Source organism: Homo sapiens, chromosome 22 (assembly GCF_000001405.40).
Source record: "Homo sapiens chromosome 22, GRCh38.p14 Primary Assembly".
NCBI lineage: Eukaryota > Metazoa > Chordata > Mammalia > Primates > Hominidae > Homo > Homo sapiens.
The window spans coordinates 47,008,220-47,030,346 of record NC_000022.11 but is presented as its reverse complement, the minus strand read 5'-3'; the positions used below and the strand labels follow the sequence as shown (position 1 = coordinate 47,030,346).

Sequence of the window (22,127 nt, the reverse complement as noted above, 5' to 3'; positions counted from 1 at the left end):
ATAAAACACACACTGTTTATGCAGGACCAGACACTCAGATTTATCACCCGAAGAGCAGCATAATGGCTCACACTTAGACACCTGACAAAGAAAACCTTTCAACCCCCCGCACAAAGCCGAGAACAGACACAAATACATCACGCTTTGGCTGGGACAGCCATGAATAGGCTTTGATTCTGGGGGAAGATTTCAATTCTCTAATCAGTTAAAAAGATAAAAAGAACAAAAGCAAGAGCCACTGACAGTGAGCAGGGCCCCTCCGCACCAAGAGGCCCCCCACTCTGAGCCCACCTCCTTTCTCATTTGCATGGTTTGGTTTATGTCGCTGACAGCTAGAAAAGCCAGGTCCCCAACAAGCAGGGTCCAGTCACGCTCACCAGCCAGAACACCAAGAACCGCTCACTGCCAATGGTGGGCAGAGGGTGGGAAGGGTTGAGACCCAGGACGAGCAGCAGCCCCGGCCCAGGCCACTCTGGGGGAAGCAGTCTGGGGCTGACAGCTCAAGACAGAGCACTGTGGCCGCTCACCAAGGCCTCCGATGGGACAGCGCGCCTGAGCTGGAAGGGAACAGGAGAGAGAGATGGGGCTCAAGGAAGAGCAGCAGAATCATGGACCCACAGCTCCACTTTCCCGGCACAGGACACTCGCTGGCAAATCCCTGCAGGCAAACAGGCAGGGCTCCTGCCATCCCCGCCCCAGAAGCGGCAGCCAGGAGCCTTGGCCAAGATCGAGGCTGCCGGCAGGTCTTCTCCTTCGGGCAGCAGCCGAGTCTGGGCTGGACACCAGAGAGCACATTAAGGCCTCAGGTTGTAGAGTCAGGTGAGCCTGGGTGAAGGGAAGGGAGGGAAGAGGAGGGAGGTTGGGCACTGAGCTCCATCAGGCGGCCCCCGTTCAGTCATCTGGCCTATGCAATGAACCTCAATAGAAACCCCGGTCACCAAGCTCTGAGGGGCTTTCTTGTTGGCGAACACATGGCTATGGCAGGAGAGTTAGCACCCTGGCCCCATTGGGAGGGGTATGGAAGCGCTGTGTTCCCGGGCCCCACGGGAAGGGGTATGGAAGCGCTGTGTCCCTGGGCCCCATGGGAAGGGGTATGGAAGCGCTGTGTCCCTGGGCCCATGGGAAGGGGTATGGAAGCGCTGTGTCCCCGGGCCCCATGGGGAGGGGTATGGAAGCTTTGCATCCCCGGGACTCTTGCAGATTTCGTCCCATGATTCTCCACATTTGGCTGGTCCCCCTAACCTGTACATAAAACTGGAATCATAATCACTGGCTTTCTTGAGTCCCATGAGCCATTCTAATGAATAATCAAACCTGAAGTCATGGACACCACTGAATTTACAGCCAGCTGGGCAGAGGTGCAGGTGGCCTGGGGACCACTGAGGTGCAGCTGGAGTCTGAAGTGAGGGTGCTCTTGTTAAGGACTGAGCCCTTAGCTCATAGAGTCTGACACCAACTCTGGGATGTTAGTGTCAGGATCGTGCGGTGGTGTCCCACATTTGGGGACAAACAGAATGCTCCCACCACCATTAAATGGTCCTGAGGGCTGAGATCCAACCAGACTGCAAGGCAGAGGCCAAACTGCAAACACATTCCCTCAAGATAACTTCTCCACCGTTCATTTAATGTCAACGTCGTGTCACACAACTGCTGTCTTCTCACATGCTCAACACAAGGATGGGGCTGAAGACAGGTCAGACCCAAGACACAGCTAAGTATGCACAGGCAGGCGAGACAGAAGAGGTCATACCAGATTCATTCCTGGGCCGTGGGGGACAGGGACCGAGGGACAGGAACGCGACCACTCACTCTCAGAACCTGGGCCGTGGGGGACAGGGACCGAGGGACAGGAATGCGACCACTCGCTCTCAGAACCTGGGCCGTGGGGGACAGGGACCGAGGGACAGGAATGCGACCACTCGCTCTCAGAACCTGGGCCGTGGGGGACAGGGACCGAGGGACAGGAATGCGACCACTCACTCTCAGAACCTGGGCCGTGGGGGACAGGGACCGAGGGACAGGAACGCGACCACTCACTCTCAGAATCTCAGTAAACATGAGTGCAGAATGAAATAAATCCTCCTGGCAGGTTGTAAAGAAATGGTGTTTATCTGACGCCACAGCACGCAATCTTTTCATCTCTAGAGAGGTATTGAGGTCTATTTTTTTGACAGTAACATAATCTAAAATACAACTTCTTCTAGAGCTACATGGCACTGAAGCAACAAGGTATTAAATCATTTTCACCTCACAGACGTGCACACGAGCTACTCAGCACACCCCTCCAAAACAGGGTCATTTCCATATGAGAAGGCAACAACAAATCTGATTTACTTCCTTTAAAAATGCAGATGACGGAGCCGCTTCCCTGGGTGCCTGAAGCTCCAGGGGCCCTGACTGTGCTCCACGGCCAGGGAACCCGCAGTTCAAAGCTGCCCAGGGGGGAGGAGTGGGCTGGACAAGACAGGGAGAGTCCAGAAGGCAGGCCTGGCCCTAGGCTCTGTCGCAGCCCGCACTTCTGGAAGGCTCGCCCAGTCTTTAGCTTGTCTTTTTATTATATTAATAGTATCATCTGAAAAACAGATTCTAATTTTGGTAAGGTCCGATTTATTTGTCCAAATTTTCTTTAATGTGTGAGGGTTTGGCCATTATTCCAAGAAATCTTGCTTGCCTAGCTTAAGGTCACACAAAGACGCTCTGTGTTTCCTTGCAGAAGTTTTATAATTTTAGGTTTCAAACATAGGTCTCTGAGTTAACTTCACTTAGAAGACTAGTCTCCCACCCCAACCAGGCTAAGCCATGAGGATTCAAAGGCATAAGAATGACACAGTGGACTTTGGGGACTCAGGGGAAAAGGGTGGGAAGGGGGTGAAGGATAAAGGACCCCGAAATGGGTTCAGTATATACTGCTCGGGAGATGGGTACACCAAAATCTCACCAATCACCACTAAAGAACTTACTCATGTCACCAAATACCACCTGTTCCCCAAAAACCTATAGAAATAAAAAGTTAAATAAATAAAAATAAATTTAAAAAACAAAACATAGGTCTCTGATTCATTTTGAGGTAACTTTTTAACATGGCACAAAATATGAATTCAAACTCCTTCCTCTGATGTGAATTTTCAATTGGAACTTCTTCATTTGCTCAACATATGTAACGATTATACGCATAACAAATATATGCTTTGCCACTGAATTTCTTTTGTACCTTTTTGGAAATCATTGCACATATGCACGGTTCCATTTCTCAGCACTCTCTTCTATTCCACTGATCTCTTTTCTTATCTCAATGGCAACAACATGCTGTCTTGATTACTGAAGCTTTATAATTCTTGAAATCAGCTAATGTGAACACACAAAAAAAGAAAAAAGTGAACAAAGTCCTTCAACTTTGTTCATCTTTTTCTGTGTTGTTTTAGCCATTCTAGGGAGTTTGTATTTCCATATGAATTTAAAAATCAGCTTGTCAATTTCTATAGAAAAGCATGTGGGATCTTGATTGCAATTGAGTAGAATGTATGATCAGTTTGGTGAGAGCTGACATTTAATACTCTTGAGTCTTCTGATCTCTGAACATGATTAGGTCATCTTTCATTTCTCTCAGCATTGTTTTGTAGTTTTCAGTGTACAGGCCTATTACATATTTTATCATAGTGTTTTCCCTAAATATTTCACATTTTCATGCTATTATAAATTGTATTGCTCATTCAATTTCAATTTCTCATTTCTCACTGTTAATATACAAAAATAAAGTTTATTTTTGTATGTAGATCCTGTATCCTGAACCCTTGCTAAACTCTTGTTCTTTCTAGTAGCTTTTTTGTAAATGCCATCAGACTTTCAAAAAAGATGATCATGTTGTCTGCAAAAGCAGAGAGTTTTACTTCTTCCTTTTTGGTCTAGATGCCACTTACATTTCTATGTATGTACGAATAAATGAATGTACGTTTTTGTCTTTCTGCCACCAGAATCTCCCGTATACACACCGGACAGAAGTGAAAAGAAGGAACACTGTCCCAGGTTTCCGATTTGGGGGGAAAGCTTTCCATTGACACCCTCCCTTTCCTATTATGTCAGCTATGGGTTTAAACATCGAACATGCTCTTTATCCAGCTTCAAAAGTTCCTTTCTGTTCTTGTTTACTGAGAGTTTCCATTGAGAGTGGATATTGGATTGTGTCAAATGATTTTTCTGCATATATAGATGTGATTTTTATGGGTTTGTTCTTCTTTTTAAATATGTTAATAATAAGAATTACATTGACTGAAAATCAACCTCACATTCTAGGATAAACCCTACATCATCGGGATGTGTACTGTTGGATTTGATTTACTAAAATCTGTTCAGGATCCTTACATTTATGCTCATGATGGATACCAGTCTGCACTTCTCTACAACACTATACGTTTCCCTCTAAGCACTGCCATCTTCTCACACACTCAGCACTATACGTTTCCCTCTAAGCACAGCCTCTTCTCACACACTCGGTACTATCCAATTCCCTCTTAGCACAGCCTCGTCTGACACACTCAGTACTATATGATTCCCTCTAAGCATGGCCATATTGCCACGCACTCTATACTATACGTTTCCCTCTAAGCACAGCCTCTTCGCACACACTCAGTACTATATGTTTCCCTGTAAATACAGCCTCTTCTCACACACTCAGTACTATACGTTGACCTCTAAGTACTGCTTAGTGCTATAGGTTTCCCTCTAAGGGAAGTACTATACGTTTCTAAGTACTGCTCTTTTGCATCCCACAAATTTTGAAGTGTTGGATTTTATTGTCATTCACTTCAAAATACCTTCTCATTTCCCTTTTGTTTCTTCTATGATACATGGGTTACTTAAAAGTGGGTTAATTCATTTAGAAATATTTGAGGATTTCCCAGGTATCTTGCTAAAGATTGCTAATTTAATTCCATTGTGCTAAGAGAAAACAAAAAATACTTCATATTTCTTGAATCCCTTAAGATTTATTGAAACTTTTTTAATGGCCCAAAATATGGTCTATCTTGGTAAATGTTCCATGTGCAAAATTAAAAAGAATGTGCACTCTTGGAATTTTCTATAAAAATCAATTAAGTCAAGTTTGTTGACAGTGTTTTCAAGCTTCTTATAACCTGATTTTCTACTTGTTCTAACACTTCCTGAAGAGAGGAGCTCAAAATCTCCTTCAGTGACTGTGTCTCTGTCCATTTCTTGTTGCATTTTTATCTGATTTTGCTGTGTATTTTGATACAGTCTTATTGGACGCATAAACACTTAAAATTATGTCCAATTGATTAACTGACCCACTCTATCATATGAAATGATCCTCTTGATACTTGATAATATTCTCTATTCTGAAATCTACTGTTTGCCATTAATATAGACATTACCGTTTTCTTTAGATTGGTGTTAGCATGAAATATCTTTTCCCACCATTTTATTTTTAAACTATTTGCTTCTTCATATTTGTGGGCTTTTCTCTTTTTTTTCTTTTGAGACAGGGGACAGGGTGTTGCTCTGTCACCCAGGCTGCAGCGTGATCATGGCTCACTGCAGCCTTGACTTCCTGGGCCCAAGCAATCCTCCCAACTCAGCCTCCCGCGTGGCTAGGCCCACAGGCACACGTCTGCCACTACACTATGCCCAGCTAATTTTTTTTTAAGAGACGGGGTCTCACCATGTTGCCCAGGCTGGTTCCAAACTCCCAGGCCCAAGTAATCCTCCTGTGTCAGTCTCCCAAAGTGCTGGGACTATGGGTTTGAGCAACCATGCCCTAAAGTATGGAAACTATATTCAGCCTAGTACCTGAAAGGAACCCCTGCAGAGCTTTGGTTCTCTCGGAGTTGCTTTCTCCTCTCCCACCCTCAGCCCAAAGAACCCTCGAGTGAAGGACACAGTTGGGTGTTGATTTTAATCCAATCTAACACGATCTGCCTTTTAATTAAAGTGTCTAGATCATTTGCATTGAACACACCTACTGATATGGCTGAGTTAGAACCTGCCATACTACTATTAGTGTGGCCCAACTGTCCCATCTGTTCTTTGTTCCACTTTTCCTTTTTTTGGCCTTCTTTTATATTAATTGAGTATTTTATATAATCTACTTTATCTCCTCTGTTAGCTTATTAGCCATAGCTCTGTCTGGTTATGTTAGCGGTGACTGTAAGGGTGATGGTATGTGTCCCTGCCTTACCACAGTTTCCCTCCAGATACGATTACCCGGCTTCACAGGCAGCACAGCGTGAGGGCCTTACCACGATGTACTTCCATCTCTCCCTGCCGACGCCTACGCTCCTGTCATCTTCATCGCACCGCGGCATGTGTTAGAAAACCCACAGTACACTGTTATTGTTTCTGCTTTAACCATTTGGTTGTTTTTGAAGATATTTCAATAACAAGAAAACGTGTTTCAATGCATTCCTAGACTTGCCACTTTGGGCACTCCTCAATCTTTGTGCAGGTCCACACGGTCATCTAGGACCATATTCCTTCCACCTGCAAGTTTACCTATTGCTTGTCATGCAGGTATCCCGGTCTCCTGGTGTCGAATTCCTTTAGCTTTTATATGTCTGAAACAGCACGTATTTCACCTCCATCTCTGAAAGATACTTTTGCTGGTTAACAGGTTTCTCTGGTTTGCTGTTCTTTGAATAGTCCAAACAGGCTGCTCCCTTGTCTCCAGGCTTGATGCTTCCAATGAGACTGCTGTTGTCATGCTTACCTTTGTAATGCAGGGTGTCTCTTCTCCTCTGGATGCTTCTGATGTTTTCTTTATATTAGTAGTTTTGGGCAATTGGATTATGACATGCCTTGTTCTGGTTTTCTTCATGTTTTCTGCTCGGTTGGCATTCATTCACATTCTCAATTCTACAGGTTTATAGGTTCCATATGATTTTTTTTAACTGAGTATTATTTCTTCCAATATTTTTTCTGTTTCCTCCCTTTAGGGGACCACAGATTACAGGTATATAAAGCTACTTAAATTGTCCCACAGTTCACTGACTCTGTTCATTTTTTTCTCTTTCATTTTGAATAGTTTCTATTGCTGTGTTGGCAGGTTCATGAATCTTTTCTTGTACAAAGTCTAATCTGCTGATAATCCCACACAGTATGCTTTTCATTTAAGACATGGTCTTTCCTCTCTGTAAGTTCAATGTGGATCATTTTTATAACTTCCATGTCTCTACTTCCATGTCTTTATCTATTTCTCCAGATTTTTAACATATGAAATACAGTTATAATACCTGCTTTAATGACTCTGCCTAACTAACGAGTCTAACATCTGTACCATTTCTGGGTCAGTTATGATTGACTTTTGTTCTCATTATCTGCGATCTTTTCCATTTCTGTGCATGGCTGACAATGCCTTTGAAAGCTAGATATTGTCACTTTTATCTTGTTGGAAACCTGATATTTTTTTATTCCTATAAATATCTTTGAATTTTTGCTGGGATGCAATTAAGTCATTTGGGAACAGATTAATTGTGTGGGATCCTGTTTTTAAGCTTTGGGGCCAGAGTAGTATTTCGTTCAGGTTTCTATACTACCACTACTGAAGGAAAACCCTTCTAAGTCCCCTACCTGATGCCGGGGACTTCTAAAGTTTTCCGTTCTTGCTTTGGAGAACAGACACAGTTTCCACCCTGTAAGGGCTCTGAGGCTTGTTCTCTGTCATCATTTCAAGCGGTTCTTCCCCAACCTCACATCCGTGCATTGATCAGTATTCAGCTTAATACCTGAAAGGAACCCGTGCAGAGCTTTGGTGTTTTTGTTTGTTTGTTTTGGTGTTTTTTTTTTTGAGACAGAGTCTCGCTCTGTCACCAGAACTTTGGTTCTGAGTTGCTTTCTCCTCTCCCAGCCTCAGCCCTAAGAACCCCCAGATGCCGTGGCTTCCCCAGACTCCCTGTTCTGTCTAAACTCAGGGAGACCTGCAGGTGCCTCCTGACACCATGCTCCAGAGACTCTCTCCAGGCAATGCTTTCATGCAATCATGGAGCTCACCCTGTACTTTTCCTCCCTCCCAGGGATGGCCCGGCTGCCTTATGTCCTGTATCTTAAAAACCATTGTTTCACATATTTTTTTCCAGCTTTCAGTTGATTCAAGCAGCAGAGTGAGTCAGCTCCCTGAAAACATGAACTAGAGCACTGGGTGTACAGGCTGTCACCAAACCTGAAAGCATCTTTGTTTGGAGATCATTAACATCAATGTTGACCGGAAACAGGAAAAATGTCCAACATTTGGTGCTCATTTCCCTGATCAAGTGTAAATGAACTGTGGGGCTGTGATTTTTTATTAATCCTGATTGTATTCTTTTCTCTATTTGAGGGAAAATGCCCAGCCTGTGGAGTGGAAGGGGTGGTGGGACCCTTCTGAGACCCTCACTGTAAGCCACTCAGCCCTGTCTACACTGCCACAGCCAGCAGTGCCTGCCAACAGTGGGCGGGGTGGCAAGCGGGTGGCAGTTCCTGACCCAGGAACGTCAGAGCTGCATTGAAGTGAGAGGAGCAGGCCCTGAACCCCAGCACTGGGGCGGGAGGGAGACAGGGACTCTGTGGGATTATTTGTCCTTTGTTCATTTTATTAGTTTTCTGTTGCTCTGTAACCAATTACCATAAACTTAGCAGCTTAAAACAACATATATTTATGAGTCTGTATGGGTCACAGTCTCTATGGGCCCAGGCTACAGGTGGGGTTCTGCTAGAGTCCCTGCTCAGAGCTCCAGGCGACAGGTGAGGTTCTGCTAGGTTCCCTGCTCAGGGCTCCAGGCTCGAGGTGAGGTTCTGCCTGGTTCCCTGCTCAGGACTCCAGGTGACAGGTGGGGTTCTGCTAGGTTCCCTGCTCAGGTGACAGGTGACAGGTGAGGTTCTGCTAGGTTCCCTGCTCAGGGCTCCAGGCGACAGGTGAGGTTCTGCTAGGTTCCCTGCTCAGGGCTCCAGGCTACAGGTGGAGTTCTGCTAGGTTCCCTGCTCAGGGCTCCAGGATACAGGTGGAGTTCTGCTAGGTTCCCTGCTCAGGGCTCCAGGCTACAGGTGGGGTTCTGCTAGGTTCCCTGCTCAGGGCTCCAGGCTACAGGTGGGGTTCTGCTAGGTTCCCTGCTCAGGGCTCCAGGCTACAGGTAGGGTTCTGCTAGGTTCCCTGCTCAGGGCTCCAGGCTACAGGTGGAGTTCTGCTAGGTTCCCTGCTCAGGGCTCCAGGCTACAGGTGGAGTTCTGCTAGGTTCCCTGCTCAGGGCTTCACAAAGCTGCCATCAGGCCTGCATCCTCATCAGGAGGCCTGACTGGGGAAGAACCTGTGTCCTGGTTCATTCAGGTTGCAGGCAGGATTCACTCCTTGGCAGCTACAGGACTGAGCCAGCTGTGGGCTGGAGGCTGCCTATAAGCCCCTGCCATGTGGGCTTCTCTGGCCAGCCCCTTACTTCAGAAGCAAAGGGAAATCTCTAGCTCCTGCTTGCTAAGGGGGAGTCTTATATAATAATTACAGGATTATTATATAATCCTGTAATTATATAATTACAGGATTGATATCCTACAATCCCATGTTCCATCGATTAGAATTAAGTTCAGACTCTAACTGAACTCCAGGAGAGGGGATGACACCAAGGCAGGTGATGACCCATGGCAGTCACCTAGGGCCTGTCCACCACATTCATTCACTGCATTTGTCTTGGCAGAAGGAAAGCCACCGACTGCACTGCACTCTCCTTTGCAGCAAGGCAAGGAGGAGATGGCTCAGGATTCCCCCAAACTCCAGCTTGGAAACCCAGGCATGGCAGAGAATCAGGAGAGGAACAAGAAAGCTCTGGTTGACAGACAGTGCCACACCAACAGGCAGGACCCTTGTTTTAAATGGAGAAGGAAACAGAGAAATAAGAAACTCCCAGTGAAAACAGCACAAATTACTCAGATAAACGAGTCATCCCATCTGCAGTAAGAAATTGCTGATGCAACCCAAGTCTACAGCGAGGTTGAAGACGCAGAGCTTCCCCGGATAGAGTCCCTCTCTCCCGACGCACTGTATGGCTGAGAATCCTGCCACTGAGAGTCTGAGCTGTGACCCTGATCCCAGAGCCTCCCACCACCGGCTGCTGGTCAGCTGACTGGGTGACCTGTAGGTTGTGTGAGGCAGGGGCAGCACATTAGTGGCCTTGGTGGTTTGCAAGGCTGTTCCTCCCATAAGAATGCAAGCTCATGACGACATGAAATCTTTCCATTCCTTTCCATCCCTAGGCCCAAAGAGCAAGACCCAGTAAAAGTTTTCCATGAATGGATGGATGGATCGATGGATGGACTGATGGCTGAGACATGGGTGGGGGGATGGATCAAGGCAGCGGGGAAGGATGGAGGGTTAAGGGAGAGGGGAGGATGGAGGGCTAAGGGAGAGGGGAGGATGGAGGGTTAAGGGAGAGGGCATGATGGAGGGTTAAGGGAGAGGGGAGGATGGAGAGTTAAGGGAGAGGAGAGGATGGAGGGTTAAGGGAGAGGGGAAGGATGAAGAGTTAAGAGAGAGGAGAGGATGGAGGGTTAAGGGAGAAGCGAAGGATGGAGGGTTAAGGCAGAGGGGAAGGATGGAGGGTTAAATGGGTCAGCCAGTGAGGGATGGATGGGTAGGATGGATCATCCTAGCATACCTTCCGGGAAAAGCACTTTCCAAACCACGTCCTTCCCTGCACACCCCCGACTGCTCACACCACTGCCCACAACGTCTCTATCCCACATGCCCCATATCACTACCCCTGCCTGCCCACAGCCCCCACTGCTGATTCTGCTGCCCCATCCTCCCTCCCTGCACACCCACACTGCTTCCTCTGCCCCCAAACACCTATACGAGACTCAGCACCGATGTCCCAACCTCTGCACAGCTTTCTCTGGACACTTCTTCAACTCAGTCCTTCACGCTCGCTGTCACAGAAACTACAGCCAGTGACGGCTCCCGTCTGTCCTCCCAATCTGCCATCTCATCAGAGAAGAGTTCCCTAAGAAGGACCTTGTCTAGCTCATCACTGTCCACTCAGGTCCCAGCACACAGTGGACGTTTCACAGATGCTTGCTGAAGTGTGAGGGTGTTCATGTCCTGATCCGGAAGCCACCAGGCTGGGAGGGAGTAGGAGGCACGAGCAGGTGCTGGGACCGCTGGACAGTGGAGGGGTGCTGCCCGCTCCACCCAGCGCACTGGGAGGCCACTCGGAAAGTGAACAAACGCAGGCTCCGTGCTCCCTCCCTGTGCTGGATGTGGGCGCCAGGCCAGCTGGGAGGCGCGGGAGTGAAGAGGGGCTGTGGCTGGCCTTGCTCACTGTCTCCTGCACCAGAGCCTCCAACACTACAGGGGCTGGATAAGACTTGCTGAGTAACTGACTCCAAGGAGCACGGGGGCTGTCAGGACCCCACAGTGAGTGCTATGCTGACAGGAACGTCTGGCTAAGACAGGAGGAGGATGAGGGGAAGGAAAGGAGAACTGCTTAAGTATGCCACATACTGAATTCCTCCAGAAAAATGTGAGTGACAGGCGAGGGCCCTGAGGATCCCGTGTTTCCACTCGTCCCACCCAGGATCCCAGTCGCCTCCATTTTCAGCAGCCTTGGCCCCGCCCACCACCAGGACCCACTCCTCATGGCGATGACGACCGGTGAGCAGGAGACACGGTGGTGGGGGAGTGCTACCAAGCCAGTGTCCCAGCTCACGCATCTTTAGAGCCTAAGCCTGATGTTCTTAATGCCTCATGGTGCTCAGCGACGTGGCCCAAGTGGCCATTCACTAAACAGCCACCAACAGTGACTGACTCACATGAATGTGTGTCGTCAGCCCAAGCAGGGGAGAGAGTGGGACGGACAGACGGACTGGTTCCAAGAGGCAGGACAGCCGAGCCGAACGGCAGGCAGAGAAGAGGAGGCTTAAATTAAAAGCAGTCTAGCCAATGTCTGTCTCCTCAGATTGCATTAAAATGGGGGCACCTGTACTCTTCATGCAGTGACTGATGTCACTGAAACAACAAATCAAGGACAAAAACTAGAATGAGACGTGATGGGCTTGCATGTGCGCCCAGAACAGACCAACGGCACAGATCCACACGCATCCAGCAGAACACGCAGAAACTCCGCTGCAGACGAAACACAGGGAAAACTCCGCCCCTCCATGGGCGCCCCTTCCATGGATAGGAAGAACAGAAGTGCCAGCAGCCACACTGACGCAGGGGAAGCAGGAACGGCCAGAGTCAGGTCGCTCTGGGCCCCCACGCCTGGCACAGGCCTCAGTGCCCAGAACGAGGTGCCTGAGCAATCTCTGGGGCACCTGTCCACACCAGAGCTTCCTGGGAATGTGACTGCCCATTACAAACTACTTCTGCTCCACCTCCATATCCATAAGCAGCCCCACCACTGCAGAGGTGTCCACAGGCAGCATGCAGGAATGGAACGTATTAAAGGGACGTTCGCGGCTACCAAGAGAGCAGGACAAAGTTACTTGGGCACTGAGCTCCAAACCTTTTAAATAATAGATGGAAGGTGTTTAAAAATGAGATTCCTTTATCAAAGGATAAATTTCAAGGGAAGTTTTATTCATCACCATTACATACAAAGAACTAAGAGGCCCCTTACCCCATTCTGACAGAAATGAGTTCTTTTCACTTTTCTAGCACTGAAATGTAACCACAGATCCCTGAAAAATTCTCACTTCTCGTAACGCCTTAGACTGGGAGCAAATCACAATTTCCTCCGTTTTCTGATGGGTCACACAAAGCCTGAGTGTCCCCACCTCACTCCCTCCCCACCTGGCATTCCCATGGCACACAGGATCCGAGGGAGGGCAGAGCGCATGTGTGTCTCAGAAGCCGCTGGGTGTGCCCAGAGCCCACCTCCTCGCCAGCATTCTGCCGCCAACCCCATCATGGCGCCTGCCCAACGCCCAGCTCCAGGTTCCCCCAACACTCAGGGAGGGCAGCTCCCACATCTCCCAACCCCATCTCAGAGAAGAAGGCGACCCCTCACCTGAGCCCGGAGACCGCAGCCTTGGGCTTACTACCTGGTCATGTGTGGCCCTCCTGTCTTCTCCTATCTCCCTGCATGGACCGTCTCCTTAGCCCTCCCATGCGCCCATGTGACTTTCATACAAAATGCAATTTTCCACTCTAGAGCAACTCTATTACTGCCTTCTTCCCATGGAAAAAATCCTTAAAAGGTCTCCCGCACCAAGCTTGGGAAATGTAGAGCATCAACACCATTAATGACAGGAAAGACTTGTAACTGGTAATAAAGTGAGAATCCCCAAGTCCCAATAAACAGGAGAAGAAAAGCTTTTCCTCACGGCCAGAAAACCAACTAACAAATGGAGGAAAACTAGAGTTAGAAAAAGCCGCCATCGGCGACCATCGCAGGCCTGAGCGCGTCAGACAAAACCATCAGCGGACACTGGGACAGGTGCGTCAAACCTGAGAGCAGTGGGAGGCTCGCCGGGCCCCAGAGGGCAAGAACCTGGCCCAGGACTCTGAGGAGCACAACAGCCACGCAGCAGCTCTGCAGGAGGCAGGCCGGTAGCCCCCTCCGCATGCCACCCAGGCAGGCAGAGACACGATGACATCCGCGGCAGCAGCTTCTGAAACGAATACGGCTGTGACTGGAAGCGCAGCAATGTGAGACCGGCTCCACCTGAGAGGACAGCAGGGCAGACACAGGAAGGACTCGTGCAGCGGACAAAGGACAGGAGCTTGGTGGGCTCCTGGATCCTAAGTGGAAGAGCTTCGGGACGGCAGAGTTCTGGAACCTCCCACTGACACTATCGGGCAAAGAGCTCGGTGTCCTACAAGCACATACTGCCCTTCCCAGCCCAGTCCTCAGGATGAGCCAATGGAGGGGCTCGTTCTCCAGGGACACCTGAGCAAGCTGACTGGGGCAAGGACTGTATTCAAAACACTTAACAGTGAGTATCATGAAGGCAGCTTCCCTGGGCCACATGAGGGTTCCTTGGGGGAGGGCCAGCCAGCTGTAGGTAACCACTCATGTAGCGGGGAGGTGGGGGATGAAGACCAAGCACGTGCCCGCCAGGATGATGGCACCCACAGCAGGGTCTGGGCTACCCTGCCAGGCTGCCTGACAGGTCACCAAGTGTGACAGGGGCTTCCTGGGAACTTTTGCCCACCAAAGTTCCCAGGGCTGAAACAAAGGGGGTGCACTCAGGAGTTCAGGGCGCCAGTGCCCACTGTAAAAGCTTCTACAATCTTAACAACCAGGCACCCTGGCATGACTGGAGGGCTGGACTCACAGGAAGCGTGCCGGGACAGAACCAGGGAAGTGCATGCTGCTGACTCTTCAGGAACCCCTACTTCCATCCTTAGTGGCTCTGCCATCCCAGGGGGGCACGTGGAGTGTGGAGGGCCAGTGGACGCCAAGGAGACCAGGTAGGGGGCTGCAGGGGCCTGAGTGGCAGATAAGCAGAGGCTGCATTCCCCAGGGATTAAAGAGGAAGAGACAGATGGACATGAGGAGAAGCCCAGGCTCCTCGGCTGGCCTGGCTCCAGGCTACATAGGGCAGCGTAAGGCCAAGACCCCGAAATGCTCCAGACGCCAGGCTGCTTCGAGGATGGAGGCTCCCTTCTCCTCCTGGCTGAGACCACCACGAGGCGGCTGGTGGCCAGGGATGTTGGATCTCTCATCCTGCAGGTCTGCCTCTTGGATGCTGGGCCCTGGCTTCCTGGCTGCTGCTGTCCGGGAGCAGCCCGCATGGACACCGCACAGTAAAACGTGTTCAACCAGAACAATTATATGTGTGTGGTCGCAAGACAAGAAACAATTCCTTCTGGAGCTCTCTGTGCTCACAGAGCTATGATGGGAGAACAGCTAGAGCAAGATCAAGTAGAAAATTACAGATTCCAGCTGAATTGCAGGTTTCCTCGAAATTAGAAGGGAGGCGCCAAGTGTAAAACGGGGTGGGCGTGGCCCCCTCACACCTCTATAATTCAGTCATTTAAACAGAGGGCCGAAGGCATTCATTGTTCCTGAAATGCTTTGAGCGTGTGAATTAAATAAAGCGAGCCGCCCTCCCCAGGCAGCTTAGGCAGAGGGACCCTCGGGAGTCTCGCACTCCTCTAGGCGCCCCCAGGCACCTGCGCCAGGAACCGCATCCTGGCTCTCAAAATCACCAAGCCCATGGCTGACATAGGCCACCTTCAGCACCATGTCCGGTCACACACTATCACTTGCTGGGTGTGTGCGATGTGTGACTCCGACGGTGGCTCTGTGCCCCCAAAACACCCTGCTGCGTCCAGTTTGTCCCGCAGGTGGGGCATCAGGAACACCTGGGCCATGTACACGAGTTACAAGAGGTGAACCTATGGGTCCAAATTCCTTCTGCTCTGTGCAGGTGTGTGCACAGGTGCCAGGGAGGACAGGGCCAGTGAACATAAGCCCCTTGGGGCCCTCAGTCACCCAGGCAGCTCAGAAGGGAGAGGGAGGCTCTGTTGGTAGCTGGGCGTGTCCCAAGGACATCAAGAGGCTCCCTGGCAGAATATGGCTGGGGGAGGCCCCCACATGGCAACAGCTAGAGACTGGAGCAGTCCCCCCCACCACACCCACCCCACACACAGGCCGCGCTGGAGCCCTGGCTGAGGGGCAGCAGGCAACAGGTCCAGAGACGACAGACCCAAGCTCCAATCCTGACTCCAAGTTTCACCTGCGTGACTCGGACAAGAGTCCCCTCTCAGCCTCAGCATCCCTGTTGGTCAGGCGGAGATACTGTTAGTTCGGACCTAACAAGCTGCCGTGAGAAGTAAGTGAGGTGAAGGATGGGGCTGCTTGGTGGGGCATAGGGACAGTAGGCTTAACGAGCAGTGAGCGCTGAGCACTGGAGGGAGCTGCCCCTACCCCCGGGCCCTGACATGGCTGCGAGCGGGAGCCACCTCAATACAAAAGCACACTCACGGCATGTCCAGCGGGGACTGATGGGGCCCTGGGTCTAGTCTGGGGCAGCGCAGACTGAGGCCTGCGGCTATGGGAGTCATCAGAGGGCTCTGGACACCTGTATTCACCTCTCCCCGTCCCAGCACCTCACAAAAACCACAGAAGAGTCAACACTCAATGCACACAAGGAGGGGAGAAAGCCAGATGGGAGGACCTGGGAAGCAGATGGAGGAGTGGTCCTCACAGGGGCCTGAGAAAGCAAAAGCCCGGGCCACCGCTGCAGAAAGCCAGGGGTAGCCCGGATGCACCTGATGAGCCCCCATCAGAGACTGGCAGCACTGTGCATCCCCAAAGAGGGGCATGGCGGGGACACAGGAGTGTGGTCTGTAATCAGCAGCTAGACCCCACAGCCATCCCTGCACATCCCCACACGCCCCACTGCCTGGGTCCAGCGCCCACCCCCAGATCACCAGAGCTTCCGCTCGGCAGAGGGTCAAACCGAGGGTCTCTGGATGGGGAGATCCAGGCACAGCAGAGTGGGAGGACTGGCCGTGTGCAGCGACACAGACCTCTGACTGCAGAGGGAGGCCTAGGTGACTGTGGGTCTGAGAAGAGTGGGAATGTCCCTTACCCTGAAGGGTTGACCCAGAAGGTACTCACAGTCCAGGGTCTAGAGAGACGAGGGGGTAGAGAGGAGTAGAAAGACGGGATGTGCCCTCCAATGCTGGGACCAATGCCTTTTATTTCAGGACCAATGGCTTATGGTGTGGAAAGGAAAATGACCCCATCAAAATAAACTGTCCTCATCCCCAGCAAGCCCTGGCCCGGAAAGGCAATGCGTTTCCACCTGCAATGCGGCCTCCTAGCCTGATTTTAAGAGGGACACTGGTTCCTTAAAATGAAGAAGAGAAAAGACACAGTCTCTCTAGCTACTTGTAACCATGATCAGCAACGACTTTGGGAATCACTTCAAAACCAGTCTGACGGCCTATATTCGAAACCACGACAGCTCTTTCTTGCTAAGGTCAAGGAGAATCACTTTATTTGTATGTCTCTACTTACAATTTAATTAACTATTCTCAGTTTAGCAATAAACCCCAAACATCAGTCTCGGTGTGGAGAGTCACAAAGATATCATCACAAGGAGAAAAGTGGCTGGATCATGAGCCAGGGAGGCCTCACGTGTTTGCATTTCATTACACACAGCATGGTCACCACCACTTCCTGGTGGTAAACACACTCCACACTTGAGCAGCTAAAAAGAAAAATGCTAACCGCAATTTGGCTGTTCCCACTCCCAGCACCTCAAAGATCCTGGGAAGGAAGCGACTGGGACAGATGCAGTGGAAGAGGCAGTGCCCAGCAGCTCCACAGCAAGTGCTATGTCCAGCTCCACTCGCGCACGGGGCGGGAGGCTGGAGGGCCAGATGCAGGGAGCCCTCTCCCGGTCCACCCCAGCTCGGCTGTAACTGGAGCACGATGGCTTTCCAAAAGCCATACGACAGACTGGGTGGGGGTGGCCAGAGGATCTCAGAGGACCCTCTGCTCCGAACAGCAAGTTTTTTATGATTCTGTGCTAAGTACAGGCCTGGAAGGATGAGCTCTCGGAACAACTGTTAATGTCCCGTCTTCTAACGTAGGGCAGAATGTCCTCCGCGGTCATGAGCCAACTACACATCAGCACGAGCTCTGAAAGAATAAGCTACTCCTTTTGTCCTGCAGGGGGCTGAAGTGTGGTCCTACCTGAAGGCCACAGTCCAAAAGTGGGATGAAAGCTGTCCCTCAGTTTTAAGAAAATGAATCTCTCTCTACTTGTTCAGGAGGAATACCTTAAAATGAGCTGAAATTGGAAGGAATGCAGGAAGAGCCGGGAAGGCAGCAGGGCTTAGAAAGAAACAGAGTAGAGAAACAGGTGAGGGCCATGAAGGACCCCAGTGACAAGGCCATACCCCTCTTCCAAAGCACCACTCTGGGCACAGAGGCATGATTCCGAGGGCCCAGGACGACAGTGAGGGGCCTGACAATAATCCCCTGGTGCCTGGGGACCTCAGGGAAAGCCTGGCAGGTTCAGGACGGGGACAGAGAAGAACGCACCAGTGCTGGGCTAGTCTGGGTTTTAATGGCTCAGGGGCAGGAGGGCTGGGGGGATGTGAGCCCCAGGACCCTCTGACTCATGGAATCTTCTGTTCAGACTTTTGCCAGCTTTTCACAGCGGAACCAAACATTTCAAAGCACCCTGGCAGGCATCACCTCCTTTGACCACCTTAACAACTTTGGGGTGGTGGAAAATAAATGTGAAGATTGTCGCTCCAGATCAAGGCTCTTCCAAAGAGGAAACACAGCCTCTCCTCCCAGCACGATGGTCGATTGCTGGGAGAGGCCAGTCAACCCGAGGGGCCCACAGGTGAGTGTACAGGGAAGGGTGTGCAGAATCAGCTGGGGGCGGGGTGGGGACAAGGCCACCAAGGCAGAGCGGGGTGGGAAAGGATTTACTTTGAGGCAAGACAAATCTCAGATGTAAGCAAGGGAGTCAGCAAGCATCCTCATCATTTATACTAGATACGTAACATTGTATTCTGTCACTTTTACAGGGGATGTAGCAGCAGCATAGGCTGCACTGGTAAAATTACAGAGCTTTTCCACACATGCAGATTTTCTATTCTATGAATTAAAGGGCAGTAGGATGAGGATTTGAGATCCTCAGGGAAAACAAAAGCTAAGAAGAAAACCCAAAGAAAATCATAAACATCTGGAGACAAAAGTAACAACAGAGAAACTGCTTTAAATCCCCACTCCAAACATCCTCTTTAAGCAGGGGAGTGTCACCCATGAGCTATGTTGAAGCAATGTGAAGCCACACAGGCTGCTGGAGCCCTAACGTGCAGGCTGCTCCATTAAACACTTTATCCCTTAGTTCCCCAACATTTGCTGAGGCCGCTCTAGAAACTGGGCATTGGTTATGGGGAACATCGGGATGAAAATGTAGGCATGTGGTCGAAGCCAAAAAAGAAGCAACGACCACTCCTCACTTCAAAAGGGCACATTCGACCTTCTAATCTCCCAGTTCTCAGGGTCATGAGGTGGGCGGGGCACCATAAGGCACAAGATGCTGGTCAGGAGTCCCAGGAGGAAGCGCGGGGAGTGGAGGTAGAGGGCCCGACCACAGGCACAGCTGCAGGCTGCGGCTCCCAAGGAAACCCTGGAGCAGAGACAGGCAAGTCCCCTGAGCCCACAGGACACCCCAAGGCTGCCCAAGTAGGTAGGGAGGAACTGGGAGGGCTCTCTCCTGTGCACCAACCCAGGATGGGCAGCGCTGGAAGCAACCTGGAGATCATCCAGCCTGCGGGGAAGCTGAGATCAGTGATAGGCAGGACTCTGAGTACGGGGATGGGGCCCATTTATGCAGTTGATGGGGCTGTTATGAAAAGTCAGCACAATGATACAGATAAAGAGCTGAGAACAGTGCCCAGTACACTGCAGGCACTGAATCAATGCTAGCTGCTATTATCATCATTCCCCGCAGCAGCCCAAGGCCAGAGTCAGGGACCGAGGCTGAACTAGAACCCAGGTGTATATTCCTAATATATTATTTTTGGGTTTACATGAAACTTCTATTTCTTTGATTTGTTGTTGTTGTTGTTGTTCTATATGCATCCCTCTTCCCAAAAATGCAACAAAATATCCATTTAGAGTTTCAATGGAAAGCACATTAAATCAGCTTGACTTAAGAAACTCAGGACATCCATCCAACAAGAGAGCAAATTCCTGCCTGGGGTAGCCTGGAACCCAGGCTGCAGACAGGTTCACCAAAATGATTCCAACAGACAATGATAAGCAGAGTCACCTGGGTCACAGAATAAACAGCCATGTTCAACTGTGAAGACCTGCTAAGCAGAAGGGGACCAAGACTCTGCCTGAACCAGGAAACCAGGAGCACAGGAATGCAGCCCTTGCCAGCACACACAGCACGCCTCCCAGAAAGTCCACACACACCTTAGGTCGCACATAACAGCAATTACGCATGTGCCTTGCCAATTGTCATGTCCTTACGTCTCAGATGAAATATCACTATCATTTCAAACGCTCAGCTCTGCCCTTCTGGAGCCTAATGAGGACGAGAGCCAGGGGGAGGGAGCCACGCTGCCTGTTCCCCGGCCTGGCTGCGCTGCTGATTTATCCTCTGCTTCTCGGCTGCTTACTTTGTAGGGGTAATAAAAATATTTCCACCAGGGTGGTAATAAAGCTGAATCTAGTTTCCTAGCTGTAACTGAATTCTATCTTAAAAGAATAAGTCAATTTTAACCTTACGAGGTAGTCAAGACAACTTTCAGAGAAATTTGATTAAAATCACATTTAACCTGAATTAAAAACACAGGAAAGGGAAAATGTTCAGGTACATAAAGCCGTTTCCCACACAGGTGGAACCATTCTCCAGTACCGCGTTTTGTTGGCATTTTCTTCCTTATAGGTGAAAGTGTAAGATATGACTAATAACAATGGCCACTGTCACCTCGGTGCCCCTGACTCAGACTCAGCCAGTGTCTTCCACTCCAACCAACCTCCCTGGGGGCTGGACAGAAGAGGCTGCCTCAGGAGCAGGCATGGACAGGGCCCTTGGCAGCTCAACAAGGTCCAACGTGGGAGAAGCAGAGGCCTTCAGACTAAACTTCCAACACTCAGCCCCACCATGGACCCATCCTGCTGTACAGTTTGTTGATGGTGATGATGGTGAGGAAATGATGGTGATAGTGATGATGATGGTGGTGGTGATGGTGATGAAATGATGCTGGTGATAGTGATGATGATGGTGATGATGGTAATGATGACGGTGATGAAATGATGGTGATAGTAATGATGATGGTGATGACAGAATGATGGTGATGGTGATGATGATGCTGGTGATGACGTAATGATGGTGATGATGGCAATGATGATGATGGTGATGGTGAAGATGATGGTGGTGATGATGGTGATGAAATGATGGTGATAGTGATGACGATGGTGATGACAGAAATGATGGTGATGGTGATGATGATGGTGGTGATGACACAATGATGGTGATGATGGAAATGATGGTGATGGTGATGAAATGATGATGGTGATGGTGATGATGATGGTGGTGATGACATAATGATGGTGATGATGACATGATGGTGGTGATGATGGTGTTTATGATGCTGGTGATGACAATCATGATGATGGTGATGATGATGCTGATGGTGATGATAATGACAATAATGGGTACTAACACTGCATGAGACTTAAGTGTGCCAGGCACTCCTGTAAGTACTTTACTCCCATGACCCGTCATGCATGGGGAAACAAGGGCTAGAGTGGGGACATTCCTCACAAAGCCAATCCTCCAGTATACAACACAGCCAGAAAGTCAACCCAATTCTGCCAGCTTCCAAACTCCAAGCTGTTACTCCACAGAGCTGAAGAGTAGATTAGAATAAGCCAGAAATGTTCGAGAATTATTTCTAATAAGTCCTTTCCTCCTCTAACCCACAAACTAGTCCCCAAACCAAAATCTCCCATTGTTGCTCCTGGCCTGGCATTTTCGCTGTCACTCAGCCACCAAAACATAGGGAACTAATTTCCTTCTAACTTCCCGGTGGGAGGTCAGCCTGTTCCTGAGGTTTCTACCAGTTTACAGGCACCAGCTTGTTTGCTCTACCTGGAAGAAGGGACAGAAGGCTCTCCTGCCTCTCTCAATGCCTGTACCCAGGCCTCACTCCAAGGGGCCAGCACTGGCCGCCCTGAGATCATCAGGAAGCACCCTGGGCAGGGACAGGCTGCCTTCCAGATGCAGCCTTGCCCCTTGCTGCAGCCCATCGTTGTCCTATCCTTCCTGCAGATACGGACCAGGTCAGGGTTAGGATGCTCTGCACAGCAGGTGGGCAGATACACTGGACACAGAGGCTGCCTTACAAATCAGCCTCCACAAAGACTGGTCCTGAAATGTGGATCCAAGGGAGGTGTGAGAAGGCCCTGTCCTGGTTCAGGTCCCAGGCAGGGTCTCCAGGCCAACTCTATGAGGGAACTCTACACCTGGGGAGAGTTGGCAAGTGCCAGTTATCAAGGCCACACCCACAGCTATCTGCATCTGCTCCCTCCAGGCTAGAAAATGAATGGAGAGGGCTGAGAAAAGGGCACCTGACCCCAAGATGCTCACATCCTCAACCCACAGCACACTGAGAGCTCCACACAGAACAAACATAACAAACATTGGAAGGATCTCATTTC

General features: G+C 50.0%; 1 protein-coding gene across 14 annotated transcripts in view, besides 3 other annotated features; it reads right to left on the bottom strand.

Moving 5' to 3' along the window:
• The window catches only part of TBC1D22A (TBC1 domain family member 22A), a 413,050-nt gene that overhangs the window by 145,353 nt on the left and 245,570 nt on the right, over nt 1-22,127 (bottom strand).
• Nucleotides 1,400-2,166: an enhancer, noted in NCBI's record as "H3K4me1 hESC enhancer chr22:47424077-47424843 (GRCh37/hg19 assembly coordinates)". NCBI's record gives its function as "activates a minimal SCP1, AML or CMV promoter by ChIP-STARR-seq in naive H9 embryonic stem cells {active_cell/tissue: H9 hESC(naive)}" and the evidence as "EXISTENCE:reporter gene assay evidence [ECO:0000049][PMID:30033119]".
• Nucleotides 13,629-14,256: an enhancer, noted in NCBI's record as "H3K27ac-H3K4me1 hESC enhancer chr22:47411987-47412614 (GRCh37/hg19 assembly coordinates)". NCBI's record gives its function as "activates a minimal SCP1, AML or CMV promoter by ChIP-STARR-seq in naive and primed H9 embryonic stem cells {active_cell/tissue: H9 hESC(naive and primed)}" and the evidence as "EXISTENCE:reporter gene assay evidence [ECO:0000049][PMID:30033119]".
• Nucleotides 14,257-14,886: an enhancer, noted in NCBI's record as "H3K27ac-H3K4me1 hESC enhancer chr22:47411357-47411986 (GRCh37/hg19 assembly coordinates)". NCBI's record gives its function as "activates a minimal SCP1, AML or CMV promoter by ChIP-STARR-seq in naive H9 embryonic stem cells {active_cell/tissue: H9 hESC(naive)}" and the evidence as "EXISTENCE:reporter gene assay evidence [ECO:0000049][PMID:30033119]".